Genomic DNA, 12,837 nt, shown 5'->3' on the forward strand with positions numbered 1-12,837 from the left:
GCTCTTCCTTTCCCAGCTCTTCCCAGGGTCACTTTTGGGGAGCCCAATGAGCAGGCTAGAGATAGGCAGGAGTGTATAGTGTGTGTGTGTGTGTGCATGCGTGTTTGTGTGTGTGTGTGTGAATGCCTGTGCATGAAAGATTAGCAAGCCAGAGCCCACTGGCCATCTGTCATTACCTTTCAATGCCAGAGAGAAAGGGTCTGTAGGGTGTTTATTATTTGGGTTCTCCATGCCTCTACTGCCCTTTCTTGGTGTAGCATAAAATTGGAAATCCAAAGACCTGGGCCCTAGTTTTTCTCTGATGTTGGGTGTACAAGTAATGTCTCCTCTTTGAGCCTCACTTCCTTTATTTGTAGAACAGGTCATATATCACTGCATGGCATGCAAGGACTGTTGAGCTCTGATATTTTAAGATGCCATAATTTTAGATGCCAATGGATACCCAAGTCCCATTAATTCATTTAGTCAATAAGTAATAATGTCAATAATAAAAAATAATAATTATGATTGTGATATTTTCCAGCTGGATGGGAGATGTTTGGCTGGTAGACTTTTCCTTCCTGTTGCTATTTGGGGGATTCAGAGCTAAATATAGCCAGTGACAGGCATTCCAAACACCATCATCTCAAATTAGGAAACACATTTGCACCTCCTATCAACAGTCCTGTGGCAGACACTCTGACGATGCTGACAAAGATGCAGGAAGACTGTTTCCTCCCATGAAAAAACCTATGTCTGCCTCCTGGAAAAATCAGACCAGAGATTTCATGGAAGGAGCTAATAGTGGGGTAAGGGTGGTATAGGAATGTATGTAGGAGTTTACCTTAGCAATGAGGAAGTCTGGCATATAGAATCACTACTATTTATTATGCACCTACCATGTCCCAGGCTGTGTGCTAAGTATTATGTTATTTTTTCTTTTTGAGGCAGGATCTCACTTTGTCAACCAGGCTGGAGTGCGGTGGCAGGATCTCAGCTCACTGCAGCCTTGACCCCCTGGGTTCCAGAGATTCTCCTTCCTCAGCACCAAAAGTAGCTAGGACTATAAGGTGTGTGCTACCGTGCCCAGCTAATTTTTTTTTTAATAGTGCAGGGGTTTCACTATGTCATGCGGGCTAGTCTCAAACTTCTGAGCTTAAGTGATCCTCCCACTTCAGCCTCCCAAACTGCTGGGATTACAGGTGTGAGCCACCGTGGCTGGCCAGTAATTTGCTACTTCTAGTCTTCATGGCAACCTTGAAACAACCCCTGAAGACCACACAGTTTTAAGTAACAGAGGAGAGATATGCATCTATGGCTGTCTCAACCCAAGGTTCATGTATCACCCACTACCAGTACTGCCCCTCTGCAGTTCCTTGCCTTCCTCCTTCCTTGAACAGTAGTGGATGCTTACCATGTTTCTGATACTGTGCTAAGCATACAAAGGTACCTAAGACACAGTTCTTGCCCTCAAAGACCTCCCAGTCAATCCTTAACTGATAAAATCAACTACAATCAAAATACAGCATAACCCAAACAATGATAAAAAATAAATGCAGGATGATATGAAAACTAGACTGGGGATGGCATGAGAAATTTCTGAAGAGAAACGAGATTTGAGTCAAAACGTAGAGTGACAAGCATTTGACAGGCCATCAAGGCATGAGACAGCAATCTGGCGAAAGGATCAGTGTGGGCAAAGGCATGGAGCATGGAGAGAGTGCCTGGGATCTGGAGAGCAGCCATGGGTGCAGAAAGGAATCTCACCCATAACCATCACTCTATGTCCATCCCCAACATTAAGCAGTAATATTAGCAAAGCAAGGGAGAAGAATAATTTTAGGGGCCAAAAATTAAGAACTTCTCTCCCTCCTGCTTCACAAAATGAGAGAAGCCTTGAGCCCTGTTTCTGGGTGCCTCAATTCCTAGATGCAGAAACCTGTGTGTGCTGACCTAGGGCTGGAGTAACCTGAGAAAACCCTGCCCCCTCCCCTTGGGCTTCAAGCCACTTTCTGTAACCCTGGCATCTGAGCTGGTCAGTGTCTCCAGGGAGCCGAAACTTTTGCAATGAAATTGACTGCTGCCTTTGGCTCTTGGTGCCTTCCCACTGGGCAGGGGCACTAGAGAGGTAGATGCCAATATCTTACTGTACAACAGCAATTCCTCCTTCCCCCTTCTTCTCCCCTTCCTTGGTCCCCATCTTCCTCTACCCTCCTCCACGGTTCTCCTCCCCTCTTGGCCCCATCATTTCTTCCTTCTTTCGCCTGGGCCCTCCCTGCCTCCCCTCCCACTTCTGTCTCCATTCCTTCTCAGCACTTCTCTCTCTAGCCTTAGCTTCATGATGTCAGAAAATAAAAACAAGCTACTTTTTACGCTTTCTTTCTAAACCCAAGCCAATAAAATACTTCTTTCATTTGAGAAGGGAAAGTAATAACTTAGGCATTCGCAGGAAACACAACACACTTATTTGTAGTCTCGGGGAGTGCTGCAGGGGCCAGCTCTTCCTATGTGATGAGTCCTGCTCCCAGAGCAGCAGCATAGGGTGTAAGACTCAGGAAACAGCCTGAGGGGAGCAGAAGCAGCAGGTCCTTCCAATCTGACAGGCTGTGACACCATGCTTCCTGCCTGCCACAGCTGTCCCCTCCCCGTGGAGTGCATTTGAGTCTCACCCCTTGGCCAGGAGCCTAGGACAATCTCTATGATCCCTGCACAGAGTCTTCAAAAAACCTGTGTCTAGCCCAGGGCAGCTTTCATGACATGGCCAAATTAGTCATGCCTCTACCCCATCCTGTAATAAGTGGCCATGAGCAAAGACTTCCCAGTCACAGGTAGACCCAGTTCCTGGCCTCAGGGATCCCCCAATCTGATGGAGTAGACACAGTCCATACTCTCAAAGATCTTCTTGTTTGATGGGGGCAACACAACCCCTACCTTCAAGAAGTTTCCAAGTTAACAGCTGGCACCAACTCACCCTAATACTTGCAACATACCAAAGTGTGATGCAAAAAAAAGCAAGCAAGCACATGGTCTTAGGAGCTAGGGAACCTGCTGGTTATAAATAAATCCCACCCCAACCTCAATGACATCTTCATCTATAAACTGGAGCTTCTTTTCCTAGCTGCCTGGATCCCTGATAAAGACCATGGAAAGCTTTATTAACTGTCACTCCCTCTAACATGCTGGTTGGCAGGTCTATGGAATTTTTGCCTGTGACTCCTCTTGGTCTCTGCTTCTGTGGCCATTTCTGCTAGCTGCTCCCCCTGCCCCGGCCCCCTCCTAATTACTCTCATGTCGATTTCTACCTCTTAGACTTTCTCTAGAATAACAATAATGATACTCTTTTTTTTTTTTTAACGGAGTCTTGCTCTGTTGCCCAGGCTGGAGTGCACTGGTGTGATCTTGGCTCACTGCAACTTTTGCCTCCCAGGTTCAAGTGATTCTCCTGCCTCAGCCCCCCAAGTAGCTGGGATTACAGGCGCTTGCCATCATGCCCAGCTAATTTTTGTATTTTCAGTAAAGACAGGGTTTCACCATGTTGGCCAGGCTGGGCTTGAACTCTTGACCTCAGGTGATCCGCCCGCCTCAGCCTCCCAAAGTCCTGAGATTACAGGTGTGAGCCACTGTGCCCAGCCAATGATACTCTTTCATAAAGGGCCAGCTTTGTGCCAGGCATTGTACTAGGTGCTTAACAAAATCTCAATCTTCATCTCTTGGTTTTAAATTCATTCTCTTTTCTGAGGGTTTCCTGTGTCAATTGCCAAAGAAAAGATCCACTTCCCTACCGTTCTCGTGCTCAGCTCAGAGCGGCTGCATGCTCTGGGTGCCCTATTCCTGGCATGTCAGCTGTAAGCCCGCCCAGAACAATCAGCCAACACATTCGCTCTGGGCCTCTCATACAGCTTAATATCCCAAAGTTCCCTTCAATGAGTTCATTTCTTGAGCCTTCTATTATTAGGCTACAAATCCATTTTCCAGATGGTGTTGCTGGCACAGGAAAAGTCTGGGACCCTGGCTCAAGGTCACCCACAACCCTGCACCAGGAAAGACTGTGAATATCTGGAGATGGGTGGAAGAAGTGATAGTGGCGACATAAAAGAGCTGGGGGCTCCCACCCAGCCAGTTGGCAAAGTGGATTGGCACCTGCAAGCCACACATTTCAGTGAGCGTACTTGCCCCTCTCCAGCACTCCAGCTACCAGGTCCGAGGCCGGGCCTTGCAGCCATGATCCAGGCTACTGCAGTGGTCAGAGGAGAAGCCAGGGAGGCGGGCCTGATGAAGAGCTGACATGACTGTCGCACTCCTGCCAGGGTCCCTAAGGAGCCATGAGGCTGACTGCCAAGTAGTTAGGGCCCGATCTTTGAGGATGGCCAGAATGGATGCCTCCCTCTCCTGAATGACTGCCCAGAATGCAGAGTGACCCAGGCTTGGAACGCACTGTGTCTTCTCAGATTTCCTGCAGCAGTGCTAGCAGAGAGGGGACAGTGGCAAGATGTGTCCACCACCATCCGTTCCTCAGTATCTGGGACAGTCTAGGGGGAGGGGAGAGAAGGGAGTAGCTCTCAGCTAGAGACTTCTGCTCTTTGGGACAGGCTTCTGGCCCCACTGGGTAAGAGAACTTCAGCTCTACCAGTCCTGCTTCCTCTGGGATCTCCCAGGCTGGGGCTATCTGTGTCGACCCAGGGGAGAGTATCAGAAATGTCCTAGCCCCTTAGAGGACCTAGGAGGGGTGTAGGGTGACCTGCTATCCCAGTTTGCCAGGACTAAGGTGGGGTAGGCATGTTTCCAGGTGGGACTTTCAGTGCTGACACTGGCAAAGTTCTGGACAAAGCAGGACAAGTTGGTCACTCTAGAGAACTGCCTTGTCCCACCCATCAGGGACATCAGGCTCCGGATTCTTATCTTCCTTCCTGCTTTTTTAAAAAAATTCCTCTGGATTAAAAGTTCCCTGTTTAGCACTCGTCCCAGCATAAAGGACAAAAGGAACATAGAGGACTAGGTGAATAGATACCATCTCCATGGTCACAGCCTGCAAACGCTAAAACCAAGCAATGCTGGGTTGTAAAGCACCTATGAGAGAAGCTTGTTTGGAAGGTGAAGGAGTTGGCCGTCTTCTAAGGAAGATCCTAAGGGAAGCAGGTGCTCTGACCAAGGGGCTGGGACCTGTAGCATTGACCTTACAGCTTTATCAAGGTTGCCCACTGCTCATCTCAGAGGATCTCAAAGTGGTGACCTGACTGTGAAGAGGGACGTCATGGGATTGGGAGTTTTCAATGAGGTGGTGTGTCGGAAGGTGATTTCGCCCATGTCATGGTAGTCACTATATGTGCATCCTTCCCTCACTCTCACCCACAGCCTCCTGGAACAACCTCTTCCTCTCTCTGTTGGTTCTCATGTTTTTTGTTTTGTTTTGTTTTGTTTTTGTTTTTGTTTTGGTCATTCTCAGCTAATCTAGAAGCTCATCTCTTTCAGCAAGCCTACCCAGAGGAGGAGTGTTAATGAATTTCTGTTAGTCTTTATTCCACGTTCAGGTGATATACACTGATGTCTTTGATTAGGGAAATGTCATTCCAGCTCCAAAGCAGGTGAAAAATCTGTGTCTTTGCACTTTGCAATGTAATTTAAACTATAATATTTGCACCAAAATAAAATGCTTCTCTTCTTTCCATTATCGCGTGCACGCACGTGTGTGTATGTGTGTGTAAAATACCTACCTCGTATTTTTTTAGTTGAGCATTTACAAACCAGGTGGGGAGTAGAAGAAAGTTCCTGCACCAATCTTCCAGGAGAGAAAGAAGGTAGCTCAGTAGTTCTACATATTTGGGAAGAAAAAGAGAATAATTGGCTAATGTTCATAAGAACTAATAATTAACAAATTAGGACTCAAGGTATTTCTTCCCCAAAGAGTAAATGTTTGTTTTAAATGAACAAATGGGTTGATTACAATTACTAACATGTGAAAGTGTTGACTGAGCCCAACTAGCAGCTGTGAAATGCAAACAGACATATAGAGATATAATCACACTCTCATTCCCACTAATGACTGTGATGACGCTACATCATCATACTACAAACTGAAAAGATTAGCCTTGAGGTTATAAGTTGATGCAAAAGTTCTTTAATTAATGCATGTCATTTCTGTTCTCTGGGGCAGCCTTTTGCAGCAAATCTGTTGCTGAAAAGCTAAGCATGCTGGTATATGTCATAAGGCAAAATTTTATTTCCCACAAATTGTATTGTGTATACAAGTACTTTTCAGCAATATTTCACTTACATTTTCTCTACATTTTATTATGAAAAATTGCAAGCATGTTGAAGAGACAAAAGAATTTTTCAGTGACCACCCATAAACATATCACCTATATTCTATAATCAACATTTTAGAATGTCTGCTTTATTATCTGTCCTTCCATTTATCCATCCACTAATACATCTCATTTTATGCATTTCAAATTATATGACAAATATCAGTGCAATTCACTTTTAAATACTTCAATATGCATATCATTAACTAGGGTTAAATATTTGCTTATGGTTCTTTTTAGGTCATATTTACATATACAATATACACAGTGAATGCACCAATCCTAAATTTATAATTTACCATTGGTGCATTCTGTATAATCAAAGCTCCTAGAACATTACCATAGCTCCAGAAAGTTTCCTGACATCTCTTCCACTCCATGCCTTCACTGCTACCCCAAGGTAACCACTGTTCTGATTATTTTCATTGTATAGTAGTTTGCCAGTTCTAGAATATTACATTAACAGAAACATCTAATACATGCACTCTTGCATAAGGCTTCCTTCACTGAGCACCATGTTTCTGAGTTTCATTCATGTTGTGTGAAATCAGTATTTGTTCCTTTTGATGCCAGAGTAGTGGTTCCTTGAATGGACGTATCACAGCTTGATTGCCCATTCTCCTTCTCACGGACATCTAGGTTGTTGTCAGCTTTTGGTAATTATGAATAAAGCTGATATGAACTTTCTATGCAACATTTCCTGTGGACATATGTTTTCATTTCATTTGGGTAAAATCCAGGAATAAAATCACTGGGTCGTAGGTTAGATATATGTTTGGTTTTGAAACTGCCAGAACCCGCCAAAGCGTTGGTGACATTTTACACTCTCATCAGCAATATATGAGAGTTCCAGTTCAAGTTCTACATCCTCGCCAGCACTGGTGCTGTCAGGCTGTTTAATTTTAGTCCTCTGAATGGGTGTGTAGAAGTCTTTGTAGTTTTAATTTACGTTTTTCTGACAGCTAGTGATGTTGAGCATCTTTTCTTCATGTGATTATTGGCTATTCATTTACCTTTCTTTGTGAAGTGTGTCCTCAAATCTTTTGTCTATTTTTATTGGATTGTCTTTTTATTATTGAGTTGCAGAAGTGATGCATATATTCTGGATTCTAGTCCTTTTCCGATATGTTTTGCAATATCTCGCCCAGTCTGTGGCTTGCCTATTCATTTTCTCAATAATGCCATTTGATGAGTAGAATTTTTAAAATTTTTATGAAGTCTGATATAATCATGTTTTCTTTTATGGTTATTGTCTTCCTTAATCTTGTCTAATAAACTCCTTCTTACCCCCAAGTCTCATAGATATTCTTATATAGTTTCTTCTTGAAAGCTTTACAGTTTATGACCCATATTGAATTAATTTTCGTATGTGTGAAAGGCAGACCCAAAATTCAGTTTTCCATGTTAATAGTCAGTTCTTCCAGCACAATTTGCTGACTTTCCCTTCTTCCATTACATTGATTTGGTGTCTTTGGTGAAAATCAAATGCTTATGTGTCTATTTCTGGACCCACAATTCTGTTCCACTTATTTATTGATCATTATGCCATTCATACTATTCAGATTAATGTAGATTTCATAATATGTCTTGGAGACAAGTAGCATAAGCCCTCTAACTTTGTTCCTTTCTAAATGATTGCTTTGGATATTTTAAATCCTTGGCATGTCTATATAAAATTTAAACTTAGCAGGTCAATTTCTTTAAAAATGGCTATTGGAATTGTCAATGGGGTTGTAATCCATCTATGGGGACAGCCTAATTTGGGGAGATTTGACATCACAACAATTTTGAGTCTTCCAATTAATGAACATGGAATATCTCTCTAGTTATTTATTTTCTCTCAACACATTTTATATTTTTTAATCTTGCATTTTTCTTAAATCTATTCCTAATTTTATGATTTGTTGTTTTTCTAAGTGGAATTTTATAAATTGTTACTGGTATATAGAAGTCCAATTGATTTTAGTATTTGACATTACACACTGGGATCTTCCTAAGTTCACTAATTAGTTCTAGTAGTTGTTTTATAGTACAACTCCTAATTCCTTGGCATTGCTTATGTAAACAACCATGTCATCTGCAACACAGTTTTTTTCTTCCTTTCCAATCATTATGCCCTTCTTGTGTTACTGTACTAGCCATCAGGTCCAATATATTGTTGAATTATAGTGGTAAGAGTGGACATCCTTGTCTTATTCTCCATCTTAGGAGTACCAGGACATAATTCTCCATGAATCTCTCATATTCCTGCAAGAAATTTCCCTTCTGTAAGAGAGATGCTAACAGGCAGAAGCACTGACCACCTTTTCTTCTGGATTATCTTTTCAAGACTGTTTATACAATAAACAGCCTAGGAAGGGAGATAATATCTGCAAATACCTCTGAATAAAAGAAGATATGCTATAAAGGATAGGACCTCCAGGGTAAAATGTTGGGCGGGTTTGCTTAAGCCCCTTAGAAAAAATTGGGGTTCAGGTGCAATGACTGGCTTGCTGATGACCACCTTCCCCCGCTGTGTCCTCACATGGCAGAAAAGGAAGGTAAGCTCTCTGGTGTCCCCTCCTATAAGAGCACAAATCCCATCAAGAGGACCCCACCCTCATAACCTCGTCTAAACCTAGCTGTCTTCTAAAGGCTCCATCTCCAAAAACCATCGCATTGTGGGTGTATTAGTCCGTTTTTACACTGCTGATAAAGACATACACAAGACTGGGTAATTTATAAAGAAAAAAGTTTAATGAGCTCACAGTTCCACATGGCTGGGGAGGACTCGCAATCATGGCAGAAAGTGAAAGGCATGTCTTACATGGCGGCAGGTAAGAGAGAATGAGCGCCAAGTAAAAGGGGAAACCCCTTATAAAACCATCAGGTCTCATAAGACCTATTCACTATCACAAGAATATGGGGGAAATCACTTCCATGATTCAATCATCTCCCACTGGGCCCCTCCCACAACAGGTAGAAATTATGGGAGCTACAATTCAAGATGAAATTTGGGTGGGGACACAGCCAAACCATATTAGGGGGTTAGGGCTTCAATATATAGGATTTTCAGGGAGCACAATTCAGTCTATAGCAGAGTTTTAGTAGCGCTGGTGTTATTTCATCCTTAAATATGTTTGATAGAATTAACCAGAGGAACCACTTGGACCTACGGTTTTCTTTGCATAAAGATTTTTAATATGAATTCAATTTTCTTAATAAATATAGAACTGTTACTATTTTTCTACTTCTTCTTGAATCCGTTTTGATAATTTGATTATTTCAAAGCATTTGCCCATTTGATCTAAGTTGGCAAGTTTATTGAAATAAATGTACTTATTATCTTCTTAATGTCTTTAAGGTCTGTAGTGATGGCCTCTCTATTCCTGATGTTGGTAATTTGTATCTTTTTTTTTCTTGATGAGTCTAGCTAGAGGTGTACCTGACAGCTAATATTCCCTATTGTTTGTCTTTTTTCAGCTTCACCGATTCCTGTACTTACCTTTATTCTTTCCTTCTACTGTCTTACTTTGAGTTGGCTTTGTTCTTTGTTTTCCAGCTTCATAAGGTGGAACCTTAAATAATTAATTTTAAGTATTTATTCTTTTCTAATATAAATATTTAAAGCTATAAATTTCCCTCTAAGCACTGCTTTAGTTGTCTCCCACAGATTTTGATGTGGTGTATTTTTTGCCACATAGAAGTAATAATCATGAAAATGAGAACTGAATTTATCCTTCATTTGGAAGTATTTTCACATTTCTCTGGTGAGTTCTTCTTTAATTTACGGTTCTTCAGAAAAATGTTTAATTTCCAAATGCTTACAGTTTTGTGGATAATTTATTATTGATTTCTAATTTGATTTCATAGTGATCAGAGAGCACACTCTGCAGAATGCTCATCCTTTTAAATTTATTGAGCCTTGTTTTGCAACTCAGAATATGGTTTATCTTGTAGAACATGCCATGTTCATTTGAAAGAAATGTGTGTTCTACAGTTGTTGAATGTTCTTTTCTATAAATATCAATAAGATCAAGGTGGCTGGCATTATTCAGATCTTGAATCAGATGTTTACTTCTGCTATCCTTATGTAAACTAGGTAATAAAAGTAAAAGAGTTTCTGCGCACGTTAAATAAGAATGTAAACATATATAAAGCATTTGGGAGACATAATTCTTACAAATCCCAGTTACCTTTCTCTTGTGTGCCCTCATCCCCACTCCTGCGCCTCCCTGAGATCTGATGTCAGCCAGAGGAGCTGAATGAATGAACAGACAGACCCAAGAGAGGAGGGTGTGTCTGCTCTGGTATACTTTCTTCCTGGTCCATGCTCCCTTACCCTGGTTGGCTGGTCCTGGTTTCTACACTTATCAGAATTTGACCTTGTGAGGCTTTGATAAATGGTCCTGTCTTATCTTTTGCATGTCTTGGAAAATACTTTGGTAAAGTATCAGAGGAGTGGTTAGAAGCCTGGGCTCAGGCAGCCTCCGCACCATGGGCTACATGGTAGGGAGAGAAAACAGGTGGTATGAGTGCCTTTCTTTCCAGATCTTGTTTTTATGATAGGCTTCACAATGTCACACAGCACCTCATTCCTCTCAGAATCTGTGGGTGAGACTGCTGTGGTTCCCCAACAACCATTCTCTCCCCCTTCCTTTAATAAAGGATCCCCGATGTTCTAGCTGGATGCATGGAAAACCCAGGCAGTGACTACCTTTCCCAACCTCTTTTGCAAGAAGATGTGACCATGGGACTGAAGTCTTCCCAATGGGTGTGAAGAGAAAAGACATCTACAGCTTTCTTTCTATTCCCTTGATACAAATAGGGCACGTTCATCCCTTCCCCCTACCACTGGCTCGAGAGCAGATAGGGTAATAGTCATTTTCGTGGAGCATCAAAATAGAAGTTTGAACCCCCTGAAACCTCCAGGAGCAATGGACATGGGGCAGTCCTAGCTGCCCTGGTGACCTACTTCAAGATTTTAAGGTAGGAATAAAATAAATTTCAGTCTCATTTAAACCACTGTATTTTGGGGTCTCTCGTTAAAATAGTCTAACATGAATTCTGGCTGATACTAAATCCTTCCCAACACAGAGGTCCAGACAGTCTCTGCCAATGGACTGGTATTTGAGTTGAAACCTATTTGCCATCCTGACTTAAGTGTCCAATCCTAGGTGGGGAGACTGTCACCTCTGTGAGGCCAGGATCCATATCTGCGTCTTAACTTCAAATATCCGCATCGATCTCAGAGCTTGGCTCTCAGAAGCTGCTTAATAAATATGTGCTGAGCAAATGCATGAATGAATAAACTTTGTTCATAGTTTGTTCACATAGTATGTTTTCAATAAATATGATGATGATGATATAAAATTACAGTGAAGGACTAAATGATTCTTAAACATTTCCAACTAGAAAAACCTGTAACTGCCTTAAAAATGGTCAAATAAAGAAATCCTCATATATGAGGTATTTCTGTGGGTATGCTCTGATGGACACAGAAAGGCATACAGAGAGAGAACACCATGTGAAGATTGAAGGCATTCTGCCACAAGCCAAGGAACTACCAAAACTAGGAGACAGGGCTGGAATGGATCCTTCCCTGGAGTCTTCAGAGGGAATATGGCTCTGCCAATACCTTGATTTTGGACTTCTGACCTCCAGAGCTGTGAGGTAATACATTTCTCTGGTTCAAGCTGCCCAGTCTGTGGTACTTTGTTATGACTCCCCAAGCTAACTAAAACATCACCCTAAAGGGATTTTATAAAACTTAGGAAATATGTAAAGCCTCTGACACATGTACACTCACTAAATCATGATGATAACATGATTTTACTTTCCTGAATCCTTATTTCTCTATAGAAGGTTGCTTTGTGACTACAGATAAATACTTAATCTATGTATACCTCAGTTTTCTTATCTGTAGAAGGGCAGTAATGACAGCACCTATGTCACAGGAATATTGTAAGAAGAACAGAAGAGCAAACACAGGGCACAATTAGAACAGTACCTGTCAGATAGTAAGTTCTTAATAAATATGATGATGATGATAATGATGACATATGATGAGAGTGAAGGACTAAATGATTCTTAAATATTTCCAACTAGAAAAACATATAACTGCTTTTAAAAAGGTCAAATAAAGAAATCCTCTGATTTTTCCACAGGTTTGATTGCTGTAGAGTGCAATGAGAAGGGTCATGCAGATGGCTCAGGAAGTCCAAGGCAGAGCAGTCTGTCTCTGGAGAGCATGCCAGAGCCTGGGGTCCTCAAATTACAGCTAGCTCCATTGCAATGAGGAAGCCCTCGGGGGTCTCTGACCCCAGATGCCATAATTAATCTCTGAACTTGCAACTGTTGCCTGGCCTGAAGTTTGTCCTCCAATCAGTCCTCATTCTGTGTGGAGTGTGTTTGTTATAGAACACAGGATAATCGTCCCCAGGTGACTCTTAGCATAAGAGGATCGTGGGGCGCCCAGATTGCTTTGAGAGGCTGTTGCCTCAGGTGGGACCCGTGATCTCCCCAGTAAGCCAAGGAGGGCAGGGATTTGGTGAGGCACCACCCCTACCCACTATGC

The sequence above is a fragment of the Homo sapiens genome, chromosome 6, assembly GCF_000001405.40.
Source record: "Homo sapiens chromosome 6, GRCh38.p14 Primary Assembly".
NCBI classification, from domain to species: Eukaryota; Metazoa; Chordata; class Mammalia; order Primates; family Hominidae; genus Homo; species Homo sapiens.